Consider the following 15,635-nt stretch of genomic DNA (forward strand, 5'->3'; position numbering starts at 1 on the left):
CAGGGTTTCTGGCCTGGGCTCGGGAAGGAGCCATATCTGACTTCACACCTGATGGTGAGCCACATCAGCATGTCAGTGTGCTTCCACATTCTTCTGCAATAGCGACAGCTCATGTTTATTTCACGCGTAGTAGATATGAGGCCTTTTGCTAAGTGGTTTGCTGTCTTACTTTATCCTTACAGCACTCCTTACATCCTCTCAATTATCCCCACTTATAAGTTAAGAAGCTGGGTTATATAACTCACACAAGGCAACAGAACTATCTAGTTGGTGGCAAGGGGGTTCACCTGCAAACGTTCTCTACCACCATAGGTATAGTTAAGCTGAACATGAAGAGTAATTTGAGGGCCAGGTGTGGTGGCTCACGCCTGTAATCCCAACACTTTGGGAGGCCAAGGCAGGCAGATCACTTGAGGTCAGGAGTTTGAGACCAGCCTGGCCAACATGGTGAAACCCCGTCTCTACTAAATATACAAAAATTAGCTGGGTGGGATGGCACATGCCTGTAATCCTAACTACTCGGGAGGTTGAGCCAGGAGAATCACTTCAACTCAGGAGGCAGAGGTTGCAGTGAGCCGAGATTGCACCATTGCACTCCAGCCTGGGTGACAGAGTGAGACTCCATCTCAAAAAAAGAAAATAAAAAAAAGAATAAATCGGACCTCCATTAACGAAATTTCAGAATAGTGGGATGAATAAAAGGTTTTTAGGGACAGGGTTAGAAGTCGCTGATATTTTATCATGCAAATCTGACCCTTCTTACTGGATCCACTCTCGCTCCCTACAACTCATATACACACATATGAGCACACACGTATGCCCATCCTTGTACAGGCACACACATGCATGCACCCATGTACACACTCCCATGCCCATGCACACACACCGAAGAAGCTGGTTCATAAGACAGAAGTTCTCACCACAAAGAAATGATAAATGCGTGAGGTGATGAATAAGCTAAATATACTGATTGGATCATTATAAACATATGGGTGTATCAAAACATCAAATTGTACCCCTTAAATATGTACAATTACAATGAGTCAATGAAAAAAAATGCAACACTCTTTAGTAAGTTAGAATAAGCTGAATAAAATCCCATGCCGGTTAAAACCTTTTTCCTCCAGGAGGGGGGTGTCCTGCTGACTTCCTTGTCAGGAGGCTACTTCAACTGAGCCTCCAAACAGCCTGCTCTTAGTAATTATTTTGGTATGGATTTGTTTGGGTTATGTCCTTACTGACAGACTTACCAAGGCTTCCCATTCTTTATAAGAACACATCTTAACTTCTTAGTTTATCACTGGGGTCTTTTTCAATCTGTTCCAAACTTAACTTCCCTTCTTGCTCTATCATCTTCCTGCCACCATGCACCCTACACTTCTGTTTCCCTGGATGACTTAATTAATGTCGAATGTGTATTCCTTTGTCATTGTATTCCTTCATCACTTTGTCATGGCTGTTCCTTTGCCTTCCATATCTTCTCAGACTATTGAGCTCCTGTTCATTGATCGAGACTTGGCTGACGTGTGTTTCCTCTGTGAAGCCGCCCAATGGTTTGTCCAGATATTATTACATGGAAATTCTTCAAGGTAGTGGGGCAGCACACCAACAGCGCCTGTATTTCACTTATGTGTTCAGGGCCTGCAGTCAACACTTCATACCGATTAGCTCTTTCAGTCCTCTCCACAACCGTATAGCCTCATTTTATCCTTGAGGAAGCTGAGGCACAGACAGGTCATGGAACTTCCTCAAGACCATGCACATGGCAAGTAGCAGAGCCAAGAGCTGAAGCCAGGCAGACTGAGTTTTCCTCATCCTCTTTTTTTTTTTAAATGCTTACCCCAGCATGAAGTCTGGGGAGGGCAGGAAATGTTCTGTGTGGAGCCTTGCATTTGCTAGCGCCTCATACCAGGGGCTTCAGTGCATGCTTGTGACTGAAGGAAGATGTGCTGATGTTTCATACAGGCTTGTTCAATAATGGAAGGAAGTTTTTGAGATGAGGCCGATCATTCCAATTCCTGCCGCTTCAGGATGGTAGAGAAAAAAACAGAGAGGGAGACATGCTGTCCACAATGACTTGTGTCTGACATTTACCTTAAATCAAAGAATGCTGATGGAAGGAGTTATGAGGACTCTCTATCAAAACCTATCTAAGAGTCAGCCTGACCTTAAATGGAGTGTCTCCAAGCCTCATTGCTCAATTTCAGTGTGGACTTCACTCTCAAAGCCTAGCAGGAATTAAGTTTTTTGTCAGCTTTCCCACACACATGAGGCTCACTTTGGCATTTCCAGGTGGCCTGGGTCATAGCATAGCCTCCAAGCTTCACCGACCTGGGACTTCTTGGGAGGTTTTAGCCTGGGCTGTGCTGCATAGGTGTGCATTGTGTGAGGCTGAGGTGGTGGTGGGCGTGGAAGAGAGCTCATCAGTCTTCATTTCATGGCATAGAAATAATCAAGCCTGGATATTAATTTTGTGGTAATTGCTCCCCGCTTCGTGTTTACAGAGAGAGAGAAACAGCTGGGGCGGTTGACATCTGAAACAGGAGCCGCTGATCATTACTTGCGCAGCAGATGGGCTTGAGTTATGAATAAGCAGCAAATGTGAAAAAGAGATTCGCAGGGGTGAGCCAGGCTTGCTTCGTGCAAAACCGGTTAACCCTTCCTTGCTGTTTGCCACAGTTGCTGCGGGTTCAAGGTTTGGATTGCTGGGCTGCCTCTTTTTATGGTTAGAGACCTGGTACCACCAGATGTGACAGGGAATAAAGTAAAACTGGACTAAAAAAATGCATGAGAAAAGCCCGTGCATGTTTGATAAGTAAGCGTGAGATCGAAACACAACACAGACCCTGCTACCAATGAACGGCAATGCAGCCCCTCTGCCTGGATTTACTCTCCTAGCGTACGCATAAATCAACACCTCCAAAGTGGGTCGGCCTCAGGAGGAATAGGGAGTCCATCTGATGAGGATCCTGGACAGGATGTGATTTGAGAGGTGTCAGAAAGTTCCCATTTTCCACCAATACCTCCTCAACTAACTTCTCACCAATGTCTGCAATTTTATATTTAGGAGAGCGTTCCTTCATGTTACATAACTGAACAAAGCTCATCAAAATGCAATGTCCTTGAGAGGGGTGACATGTTGAGACTCATGAGTTTGTCAGATCCTTTCCAGACTTCATCTTTCGAAGCTCTCAGAGGGCAGCTCCCTGTGGAGTTGGACAAATGATGGGGGAGAGGTTAAGCTGAAGAGGGGCCCTGAGCATAGTGAATGCCTTGAGCATCTGGCTTAACCTGGCTCTGCCACTTACTAGCCATGTAACCTTGGGCCAAGGGCCAAGCCTTGACCTTGAGGCACATAGCCTAAGTTTTGGAATCCTCATTTTTAAAAAGTCAAAATAACAACAGGTACTGTGACTAGGTCATAGGAGTTAGTGCATATCAGACATGGCAAAGATTATGGGAACACCTTGATAGCTACAAAGCAATATACAAGTATAAAATAATAGTGGTGGGATGATCGTGCTTGGAGGGGTGGTGTAGGTCACAGCAGTTCTTGTGATAGGAGGCTTGGTACTTTTCAGAAACTACAAAATATATTGGTGTTGGGGGTATGCAGAAGCGCTTGGAGCCTCTTTGCAGCTCTAGTAACCAAAGCCTTTGTCACAGGAGGCATAATATGGCTAACCAGGAGTCGCTCCTAAGTTGCAGTTATCGAGGGGACTCCTACCAGCATTGCATGGAGCAGGGCATGGAATTTATATTTCTGCTTAATATTGAGGGATATTCTGACCTAACCCAAGAGGCAGAATTAGGTCTTTCCATAACCACAGCAGGCAGAGAACACAAATCAGGAATATCAGAGGTAACCTGGAACCCAACAAAAAGAGGAAGAACTCGGGAGGAAATGGGAGAGAATGCCCAGGGACCCAGGCAGAACAGGCAATCAGTATCTCCAGATGGGACTGGCGGGAAGCACAGCCTCATTAGCAATTCCTGATAAAGACCGATCTTAAAATTAACTTTGAGACACTTTATCAGCAGGAGAGATGAGGGAAAGCCCTGCTATAAGAAAATGAGGTCATGGGGTAGATCTACTGGTGTTCAGAACACCAGTAGAGCTGGAGGAATATGAGCTTAACTTGACGGATATCACAACACTAGCTTACTCCCAGTCTATGAGTTCCCAACAACTCCTAAACGTGGAAGAACTGCAAATTTATATTAAAGCCACTTTTAAAAAAATTGCTGATTTATGGTATGTATTAATTTGTATTGACTTGTATCTTAAAATATCATTCTCCATCCATTTTTAACAAATCCTCTTCTTTTACCTTCCTAAGGTCTCCTGTTAAGGAACACTTACAAGGTATGTTTACAGGTAGACGTATTCACCTGGTGGGTTGAATGAACTATTATAACCAAGATGTTGATATCTAGTGTGGTCAGAAGCTCATATAATAGATTATTGTTTCAGCTGGGCTGGCAACTTGGTTTGCTCCACAAGATAAAGCTTACAACCTGAATTTTTCTGCCCATTTCAGCTCCAAAGCTCATCATTTTCATCTCAAACCATCATTTGATGGCATTTCCCTTAAAATGTCACTAATGTGGTTTAGCTATGTCCCCACACAAATCTCATCTTGGATTGTAGTTCCCATAATCCCCACATGTTGGGGGAGGAAGCCAGTGGGAGGTAATTGAATCATGGGGGCAGTTACCCCCATACTTATTTTCTGATGATAGTGAGTGAGTTCTCATGAGATCTGATGGTTTTATAGGGGGCTTCCCCCAACTACTTACCCTGCACTTGTCTTTCCTGCTGCCATGTGAAGAAGGACCTGTTTGCTTTCCCTTCTGCCATGATTGTAAGTTTCCTGAGGCCTCCCCAGCCCTGTGGAACTGTGAGTCAATTAAACCTCTTTCCTTTATAAATTACCCAGTATCGGGTATTTCTTCATAGCAGCATGAGAACAGACTAATACAGTTACTTTTGTTGACTCCTGGTGTGGTATATATGTATGTATGTATATGTATGTCTATATATATATACTCTCTCACTGCTCTGGGAATAACAATTATTGTTCTTGGGTTGGGCTTTATTTTGGATATCTTTCTAAAATCCTGAGTGAAAGGAATCTCAGAATTGGCTGCTGATTTCTCCACATTACAAAGCTGAAGTTCTCCCTTAATTTACTTTTCTTTTTCTATTCCTTTCCTGATGATTTTTTCTTGTTCTTATCCTTATCATAGCACGTGCTTTAGTGGTTTCTCTTGTGCCTGTCAGTTTAGGGCTCCAGCCCTTTCCCAAAGGTCCCACATTTAGGTTTTAGGGTCATCAGGGGGTTTCCAAGTGATCTCACAGTCAGTTCTCTTTAAGCTTCAACCACCAAGACCCTTCCTCTCTTGCTCAATCTGTCAGTGTCACCTCTGTCACCACCTCTCACACTTAACAGGACCCAAATTCACTCTTGAGGTGCTGGCACCCAGGTGTGCTAGAGCTTAGCTCTTTGGTGAGTCCTCCATGTGCCAGAGCTGCTCAGGGTCCTTTACAGGAATTAGAAACATTGTCCTCATGGTGCTTTTGAGTAATGCTAAGATAGAGGAGGAAAAGCTAAACTTTTACCTCAAATTATTTAGAGAATTTAGCAGATCCCACTGCCATCCCTGCCTCTCCAGAACTGGGCAAAACATGATACTCTGAGTGCTGCCACATCCACTGTCCCCATCTGAGGCCATAAGCCACGGCAGTCCCTCGGGCACAAATCAAAATGGGTCACACCATGGGATCCCGTGAGCTGGTCTCACCTGTGGACCAAGGGTGGGGATCGGGGCCAAAGACAGTCCTCTGGATAGAGGTCAGCCAATGGGCAGATTGGGGGAAAGCTCTCATCAACAGGGCACTGATAGGGATTAACTTAACCAGGAAACCCTTCCTTGTGGAGTTTGAACCCAAAATACGCAGTCACTAGATTACTTGATCACAGAGACAGGGAGGAGGCACAGCACCAATATGGCAGGGCCCTGGGGAAGAGAAAATCACAGGCTCTTGACCTGGGGAAAATGAGGCGTTTCGATCAGCAAGGTCTGGGTTTTGCCGTAGATAGCATTTAAGTCCAAGTAAAGAATGATCCCTTCATTTTGTCTCCTTTCAAGCAGCAGCCCTCAAATAAGGTGGACAGCCTATGTCTATTCCTTGTGACCCAAAAGAGTCTAATGATTTGGCTCTTGCCCCCTCCCCTACTCTCCTGCTGGAGCAAGGAGGGATTACTATGTTGCCAACTGGGCTGCTCCTGGAAAAGAGAGCTGCTTTTTCCCCTTAATCCTTTTGATACCAACAATTAGAGTTCAGAGGAAAATAACAGCCTCAAACATAACTAATGCAGTGCTAGTCCCAGCCAAGGTGCCGTCCCTACCCTCTCTATGTGGCAAAACTCCCCACTGGAGGAACCAAGGAATCAGGAACTTTGGGCTTAGGTAATGACTGCAGAATTGGGCCCAAGCTGAGTCAGCCACAGCCCTTGGCATATCCCCAAGTGAAAGAAACAGCAGGTTGAGGGTTACTTAAGATATGAACTCTTTAAACCCTCTCCCATTGGGAATGCTGACAAGCCAGATAAAGTGCCTCCCTTCCTTTGTCCCTCCTCATCTCAGCAAATGACAAAGTGCAGGTTGTTGCCTCCAGGTGAGCACAGCTCTGAGGAAACAAGGAAAGCAAACAAATACTGCTGTGTGGCTGAGTGGTTCCCAGGCTCCATTTCAAAGGCAGTCCCTTATGGCTTTGTTTGCTCCTGTTTTTCCCAGCATAGGTGTTTGATATCACACAGACCCATTCTGAATTTCCAAGAAGAGGAGTATTTAGTTTACAGTGGGTAGCCGAGAGTATCCTAGTTTGAAAAAGGGAATAAGTTATCTGTCCACCAGGTATATTTAAAAGCCCCTGATTGTGCTGGTATCAAGGTGCTGATGGGACATGAGAAAGTTCAATTCGGGTATCTGAGAAAAGCACCTATGGCAATGGCTTTTCTGAGACAACTCACTGGCATTATTCACCCTTGGTTGAAGGTCAGCATTCTCACTGGAACCTCACTCCCGGTTCCCAGCTTCAGGTGTGGCAGGAGAAGGTTAGGACATCAGGTGATTGCTTACACAGGTACACTTGGAAAAGACTCAATACACTTCAGAGAAAATAGTAAGTGTGGGATTCCTCTAACACCCCATGTATCATCAGCGATGTGTTGAAACTCTCACAACTATTCCCCATTTTTCCTCTGACACAGACATGACTAAATTGTCAGGAGAATTTCTATTCTGCTTCCCTTTACTCTAGCCCAGAGAGATACCAAAATGCGCAAGCCTCGGCCATCATCAAGGAACTGAGAAAATGTGTCTTCAACCATGAGGAGGAAAATTCAAAGGAGTTCCGAACACATACAAATACATGTAAAGGGACAGAGATGAAAGGAATGGAGCCATCGGAGCGGGAGTACAGGGGGAGAGGGAGCAGCACCTATGCCCAAGCCCCGACTGGGCAGCCTGGGCCAGCCCTCAGGATGAGAGCAAGGTTCTCAATGCCCTTCCTCACCTCCCTCCTCAATGATGTTCTTCATCCTCACCATCCCATCACCTCCAGAGACTAGTGTGTTTGTGGCACCCTTCTTCCCAGTCAAGCCTGCTCTCAGAAATCATCCTTGGGAAGGTAAGAACAATAGATGGGGCATAGTATATCTTTCAACAATGCCTTGAGTATTTGCATTTTCACAGAGGAAGTATTGAAGATGGTACCTCAGTTCGAGGTTTTCAAAAAGGACTTATAGGTAAATAAATCACACAGACAATGGCACCTGCCTAAAGATTAGTGTAATATAAGTGCTTTGTCCCTGGAACACAAGGCGATATTGTTAGCAAAAACTTTTATTGAAAAATATCTCATCAATTAGAAAACATGATAAAGCCTTCCTCTGTCCACCCATGTTCCCTCACTTCCAATTCCATGCCACATGCAGGAAATGGCTTGGGCAGTATGCCCGCAGGCTAGGGTCAGCCGTGTGCTAGCAGCTGGACTCAGCACATCTAACACGTACATTATTCTAAACTTCAGGGCATTTTGAGGCATGACTGACAATGGCAACAGGGGTGTGGATTGCCTTCACGTGCACTGGGCTTGCATTTGAGTGCCAGGCTGTAGCTGTGTGTCAAGCATGGGAAATTCCTTACCTACTCTTGCTATCAATAAATGATTCGTACAGCTCACAGAGGAATCCATTTCTAATCACATGGTCAGCCATCAGAGCAGCTTGGACGCTTGCTTCTGCCCTGGGCGGGTCCAGGTCAGATTCTCCTGAAGTAAAACACAGCCAGGGTAAAGAGAGGAGACCACCTGGGAAGTGGGCGTAGCCACAGAGCTGGCACCACACTCCCCCTGCATCCGTGGCCTGTGTGTCCCTCTGCGGTGCCAGGGATGCTGAGGGGAGTCTGTGGAGCAAATGTCCACAGTGTGACTGGGTGCCATGCACCCTTTTGGGGGCTTCATGTGGATAGTTTTCATAATCCCCATTCACAGATGATGAAACCAAAGGGTAGAAAGGCTGAAGTATTTGCTTGTCTTTGCATCCGCACATACTAACTGACACCCCAACAGGGTTCTTCTCATGGTACCAGGTATTGTGAGAGGCTTGAAAGTACAAGAATGGCTCCTGATTTTAACGTTAAATATTTTTAATTTTTTCCCTTAGATATTTTCTGTTTTCTTTCTTTCTTTCTTTCTCTCTCTCTTTCTTTCTTCCTTCCTTCCTTCCTTGCTTTCTTTCTCTTTCTTTCCCTTCTTTCTTTCTTTCTTTCCTTCCTTCTTTCTCTTTCTTTCTCTCTTTCTTTCCCTTCTTTCTTTCTTTCTTTCTCTTCTTTCTTTCTTTCTTTCTTTCTTTCTTTCTTTCTTTCTTTCTTTCTTTCTCTCTCTCTCTCTCTCTTTCTTTCTTTCTTTCCTTTCTCTCTTCTTTCTGTCTTTTTTTTTTTTTTTTGAGACAGTCTCGCTCTGTTGTCTGGGCTGAAGTTTTGGCTCCTACAACCTCCACCTCTCAGGTTCAAGTGATTCTCCTGCCTCAGCCTCCCGAGTAGCTGAGATTAAAGGCCTGCACCACTACACCAGGCTAATTTTTTTTTTTTTTTTTTTTTTTTGAGACGGAGCCTCACTCTGTTGCCCAGGCTGGAGTGCAGCGGCTCGATCTCGGCTTACTTCAAGCTCTGCCTCCCAGGTTCACGCCACTCTCCTGCCTCAGCCTCCCAAATAGCTGGGACTACAGGTGCCCGCCACCATGCCCGGCTAATTTTTTTGTATTTTTAGTAGAGACGGGGTTTCACTGTGTTAGCCAGGATGGCCTCGATCTCCTGACCTCGTGATCTGCCCGCCTCGGCCTCCCAAAGTGCTGGGATTACAGGCGTGAGCCACCGCGCCCGGCTGCACCGGGCTAATTTTTGTATTTTTCATAGAGATGGGGTTTCACCATGTTGGCCTGGATAGTCTTGAACTCGTGACCTCAGGTGACCCGCCCACCTCAGCCTCCCAAAGAGCTGGGATTAGAGGTATAAGCCACCAGGCCCGGCCCCCTTAGATGTTTTCTAAGCATGGTTACCAAGAAACCCACAGAAAAAGAATATTTTCCCCCACCCCTTCATGTAGTTAAGGTGACAAGATTGATCCACATAAACAGTACATGCACAACTGAGCTTGGTGGTCCTATTTGAAAACGTGCCTCTGAAAAATACTTTGTATAAAATGTGAGGGTTAACTTTAAATAAAATATAAAACATTAAAACTACAACTATCCATATGCTTAATAAATTGCATTTATTGAAAGGAAAATGCATGCAATTTTTTAAAAATCACATACTTATATATATTCAGTGTATACTTTGATTAAGAAAATTAAAAATCATGGCAGTTTTCAGTTGTATTAATAGGAGACCATCTAAAATGACTAACTACGAATTTGCCTTTCAGTTTTCTTTCTGATGTTTCTTTAAAAAGACAAACTAAAATAAACTAAAATGAAAATAACCTATAATTACATTACCTATATTTTATAAATAATATTCTTTTTCATGCTCTAAAATTTATAAATTTTAAAATGTGTTAGAAAATACCTCTATGATTTTGTAAATTAAATGGATGTATTATAATTTATTTATTCAGTTGGATCAAGTTTTGCCATTTTACGTAAGTCTGCTCTGAACAATCTTGCCCTTATTGGCTGTTTATCTCCGATTGTATCCTCAAGAGACATCCTAAAACAGAATCACTGGGTGGAAAAGTATGAAATGTTTAAGGTTCTTGATGCTTATGACCTAATTGCCTTCTAGAAACGTTTAAACAATTTTTTTTCCCATTAACAGATTGCAACAGTGCCTGTTTCCTGTATTAACCATTGCAATTTTTTCCTTGCCCTGAGAATTGCCAAACCATGTCCTTTCATAGGACTTTGTTAGTAAATAAGTATTTTTCATATCGAATTGGAAAAAAAAGTTTTGCATATTAAGAATATTCATCTCCTGACATTTGTTGTAATTCTTTCTTGCAGTTTGTTGTTTATTTTTCTGTTTTCCTAAGAAACCTAATGTATAGCTGAAGTAACCTACTAATAATTTCTTGTGTAATAACTTCCTCTATTTTCTCTTCTTTTTGCTTTTTCTACTGCTTTTTAGAAAGTTTGTATCACAATATCAGTTAATATTAAATATTTAATAAATAAAAACTAACTTCATTTCCTGCCAAACCATCAATTTAGTAAACCACTTATTGAACAACTCCACTGATGCGTTGATCAATTTTTATGCCTGTGATATACTACTTGTATTATTATTGCACTAAAATATATTTTAATATCTTTTAGAGTATGCCTTAGCTGTTCAGCATTTTCTTCCATAAACTTCAGAACCACTTGTTAAAGTTCCAAGAACAACATAAGAAAAATAGCTGTCAGGAATTTGTGCAACTATCAAATCTATAAATTGTTGATCTATCTACCTACCTATCTAGTTTTTTGGCTATTTTTAATTAGAAGGCCTCTAGTGTTTTATTACCAAGGGTGACATTTAGAATAGATGTTTCTGATCATGATAAGGACATAGCTATCTATTTCTACTTAAGTCTTTTGTTTCTTTTAAAAAAATCACATATGGTGTTGGAGTCTATCCAATGCATTTTCAACATCTATTGGGATGATCATATGGTTTTCTCATTACTCTCTTATACGGACTCTCACTCTAGTTAAATTAATCTGTCTGCTCATTTAAAAATTTTATCATTTTGTATAAGTCACTTTGTTTTTACTTGATGCTCTTCTGTACTAGTCAGGATTTCTAGGTGCAAGTGACAGAAAACCAAAGTGCAATGAGCTTAAACAGACAAGGAAAGGTCAGTGATTACTTAACTGAAAAGCCCAACCACAGGGCAGATCCAGGAACCCAAAGGATGCCGTCAGGACTCAGTTTTGCCCTGTAGTTCCTGACACTTCACATTTTTTCATCCTCATGGATGCAAGTCCAGAGGGAATCAACCTTTTCCCCCTCTTTTTTATTTTTTGCCGATAGCTCTGACGTAAGTCTTTGACAAAGAATTGATCATCTGCTCAGTCTTGTACCAATCACTGTGGCCAGAAGCCAGGTAAGCTGATTGACTGACAATGACTGACAACTAGGATACTTGTCCACACTGAGCCTGAGAGCAGACTACACTGAGGATGGGGGAAGGCTTTTCCACGGAAAAATCCAGGCGGTTTTACCAAAAGAGCAAGGATGGGTTCCAGGTAGACAGACAAATTAGGCATCCACCACACACCCTTAATAGCTCAAAACCTCCCAGGATTGAAGAGCTGAAGTAATTGGTTTTCTTACTACCACATTGCTTCTCCACACTCTCCAATCTTGGGCTTTCACCCCCTTTCACTGTGGTAGTAATTCTCCACCATTACTATGAAATGAAGGGTCCTAAAACCTATCAGCTCTTTCTGTTTTTAGCCTGAGTTGCTTCCCTGGCTCAGGGCTGGCTTGGCATTTCTCTTCCTAGAAGACTTCCACTGTGACTGGATCATTAGATCCTTGGTGTTCTGTTGTTCACAACACAGGCTGTGTAGTACGGCATGGTCTCTCTGTCTTCCTCACTGTGTGTTGCTTCCATGGAGAAGAACCTATGTTTTCCTCAGGGTGAGGATCCAATTACTGATCTCAATACAGGCAAAATGGGCCTAGGAAAAGAAAGAAGTTACACTGTTTCCCAAGCTTTATGAAATCATTTGCATTGTGGGTCCTGATTCATGATTCTGACTTTCTTGTTGAGATGGTAAGTTGCATCTCTCCCTTTGGTAATACCCCAAAGGGAACTAGAAGTGAAAGAAATGTCTCACAGCTCAAAATGCTAAGCGCTTTTACATTAGTAAGAGCCTCTCTCCAAGGACATTCACCTCAAAAGGTCTCTACCTCACTCAATCATTACCTGTTTAGGGTATTTCAGAGGATAAAAAGGGAGACCTACCCAAGGCTGAATGGAAACCACTTTTGACCACCTGTAAGACATGAAAACGTCAATTAGATGTAAATATGTTGCAACTTCCTACCTCATAGAAGTGTTGCAAAAATTAGAAATCAAGATTTATAAACCTAATAGCCTTTTTTGATAGATAGATAATAGATAGATAGATAGATGATAGATAGATGATAGATAGAGAGATAGATAGAGAGATAGATAATGTCTGACACACCTAGGAGCATATTAAAAGTTAAAACTGCCCTTTGAAAGAAATGGGATTGTAATTGACAGCTATGTTGACCCATGAAGGGTTCACCAGTGTAATGGCAGTAAGGAGAATGCTGCTTTGTGTGGCTTTAGGGAGAGTCCAGGCCAGCTGCTCAGAAGCAGTTTAATGCCTTCAGGCTGTGGGTGGGGAAGGCGGGAGGAAAGGGTTGTTGGAGTAACCCAGGTAAATTTGCCAAGGTTCCCAGCAGGGTTTGCCAGCTCAGGCTGAGACTGCCTCAATCCGGTGCTTTCAAACCAATGCTGAGCGGCACGATTCCTTCCTTGTTTGTCTTGCACTGAAACCAGGAGAGGGATTTGGTAGCTCTCACCAGCTAGGAAACTAGTATAAACATTCTTTACTTACTTGGTTTCTCCTCTCTCTTTCATCTTTTGTCTCTGCTTTCTTTTTCCTGAAGCCTTATTATACCTCATCAAATCACCACACCCACCAGGATGAATTTAGGGTTGTAGGCAAAACACAGTTACCATGTTGGGCCCTGCGAAGGTTCACTACTGGTGTCTCCTACTGTAAAAGGCACAGTGGTGGAAAATGAGCATCACCTGATACCAAGCTCCACCTGCAGAAAAGAACAACCTGAGTTGATGCCACACTGTTGTGAACTTGCTTATCTTGCTGTGTCTTGCAACCAGAGTATGTATATTTCTCTCCTGTTGATGGGAAAATGCAATGTCATTCTTTTCCATGAGTCAAAAATCTTTGGACATTTGGCCTACGATGTTGAGCACTTTAAAAGATAGTTAGAGCTTATATTATTACCCAGTCGTCCAATCTAATTATTATTTATTTTTTTAATCACACGTTCAAACCAATAGACATCATAATTGTTATTGCACTCTCTGGGGTAAGGAATGCTAAGGGAATATGGCCTAAGGACAATGTTAGCCCAAGCCATCTTAACTCTGCAACTGTTGGGCTTTTGTCCACCATCATTCCTCTGTCTATCCTCACTGAAAATTGTGAGTTCAGTGTGTGTAGATCCTTGGATCCCATCTGACATAACACCCTGCGCTACTCTTTCCCATCTCACTTTCTATAATATGAGAATATCAAGATAACAACCATGCCAAGGCTTCTCTAATACCTGAAATGTATTTGGCTACTAGATGCCCTCAGATGCTTTGAGGTATTCGGTGTCATTGGCACAAGAAATTTGAACTGATATGGAAATGGGCCATGGATTTCCTGTTCTTTACTTATGAAAATTCCTAAACACAGATGTTATGATACAGAGTATTAAAATCACCTATTGCCCTGAATGACAGTGTTTGATTAAAAGGACATTGAAGTTGGTCATCTTGAATCTATAACATTTAGGAAATCAATCAATCAGTCAATAAGGGGTAGGAGCCAAATACCATTCTCATTGATAACCCTGCCCTTGCATTATTCCAAGAAGTGAACACAGAAGGGATTCTTTACCTGTAAGGGGTGGTCCCCTAGGAAATCATAAAATAATCTCAAAAATGTGGTTTGGACAAAAACATATTCAGTAATACAATATCATTTTATATTGGAAAAGTATCAGTTGAGCAACACAAATTTAAGAAAGTAAACTTGGTCAAAGTTATCTGACCTAGTAGTGGTATCCAGAAGGTACAGGGATTCTCAGCCTGTGGCCTGGTAGAGTCCCAGTGAAGGGGATGTTTATACGAGAGACACACTGAGCCAGGAAGACAAAGTGAGAGACAGAGGGAGAAGAGTATGTATGGATTTTAAAAGATGCTAAAAAGGTAGAAACTTCTGTTTTCTTCTTTGAGTTGTTAACCTTTCTGGAACTGACAATGATAAAGTCCATGTGTTGAGATATGTCTCTGGGAAAGGACATGTATCTACTGCTTGTGTATCGGTATGTATTCCCTACAGGCATAAGTGGCTTATTTTACCATGACAGTGTTGCAGGGCAAATTACTGTTCTAGGATTATTTACACACAGTGGTTTGAACCTGATGGTTTCTTTTTCTTGTTTGGGTGATGGACCCTTGGATATCAAATTTCCTCTGTCTGTACTGCTGTCCCGTGAAACTACTTGATTCTAGTGAACAGGAACACAGAGCTTGGCAGTCCTTGATGAAGCATATTTATGAGTTAAGCCCAAATGAATCCAAAACATATGGATTAAATTTCCCTTGAAATATCTAAATTAAAGGTGGAAAGCACTGTGAAGAATGCACTGGGGACCTGCTTGCTGCTCCTCAGGCCAGTTTTAAAGTTTGAGCTATTTTCTCCCACTCAAAAGAGCTTCAGGTTTGCCCATGCTGTACAGTACTTGAAGGTCCCACCCTGGCTTTTTCATGGCAACTGCTATTTTGGGGCAGGCAGACCTTGATATCCCAACAGCGACCCCACCTAAGTCCAGAGGGTCATGCCTCAGGCTGAAAAGGCAATGTTTTATTGAGTGATGCAGCTTAATGTCTCTTCTGGGTCCCTGCCTCATCCAAACCTTAAACACAATTAATGGTAAATGTACAGGAATGAAAGAAGCCAGGAAGCCCTCCAAAAAGCATTTACAGGCACAACAAGAATGACATGGACTCTTTCTCCCACAAGCCAAAGTCACAGTGAATGTAGCTTAGTACTTTAAAAAAAAAAAAAAAGGATAAATAAAACAAAAGCTATCCAGTCATTGGAGTTCCTTCATTTACAGATAAATGAAATTATTGTAACTTCCCAAATAATTATACGATACTGAACTTTATCCCATAATCTTGACTTATTTTTTGCATTTGCCATCCTGAATTGTAATAGTTATAACTTCAAATAAAGGTGCCTTAAATATCTAATAAAATTTTATCCTCTCTCTGCTTTATACATACAAGGTGTATTTCATCC

At 42.4% G+C, this 15,635-nt stretch overlaps 3 annotated features.

The window, feature by feature from the left end:
- Positions 1,369-1,663: an enhancer, noted in NCBI's record as "tiled region #15680; K562 Activating non-DNase unmatched - State 24:Quies". NCBI's record gives its function as "activates a minimal TATA promoter and a strong SV40 promoter by Sharpr-MPRA in K562 cells {active_cell/tissue: K562}" and the evidence as "EXISTENCE:reporter gene assay evidence [ECO:0000049][PMID:27701403]".
- Positions 6,237-7,088: an enhancer, noted in NCBI's record as "OCT4-NANOG hESC enhancer chr7:41098757-41099608 (GRCh37/hg19 assembly coordinates)". NCBI's record gives its function as "activates a minimal SCP1, AML or CMV promoter by ChIP-STARR-seq in naive H9 embryonic stem cells {active_cell/tissue: H9 hESC(naive)}" and the evidence as "EXISTENCE:reporter gene assay evidence [ECO:0000049][PMID:30033119]".
- Positions 12,420-13,619: an enhancer, noted in NCBI's record as "MED14-independent group 3 enhancer chr7:41104940-41106139 (GRCh37/hg19 assembly coordinates)". NCBI's record gives its function as "activates an origin of replication core promoter dependent on BRD2, BRD4, P300/CBP and CDK7 cofactors, and independent of MED14, by STARR-seq in HCT116 cells {active_cell/tissue: HCT116}" and the evidence as "EXISTENCE:reporter gene assay evidence [ECO:0000049][PMID:35650434]".

Source organism: Homo sapiens, chromosome 7 (genome assembly GCF_000001405.40).
Source record: "Homo sapiens chromosome 7, GRCh38.p14 Primary Assembly".
Taxonomy (NCBI): Eukaryota; Metazoa; Chordata; class Mammalia; order Primates; family Hominidae; genus Homo; species Homo sapiens.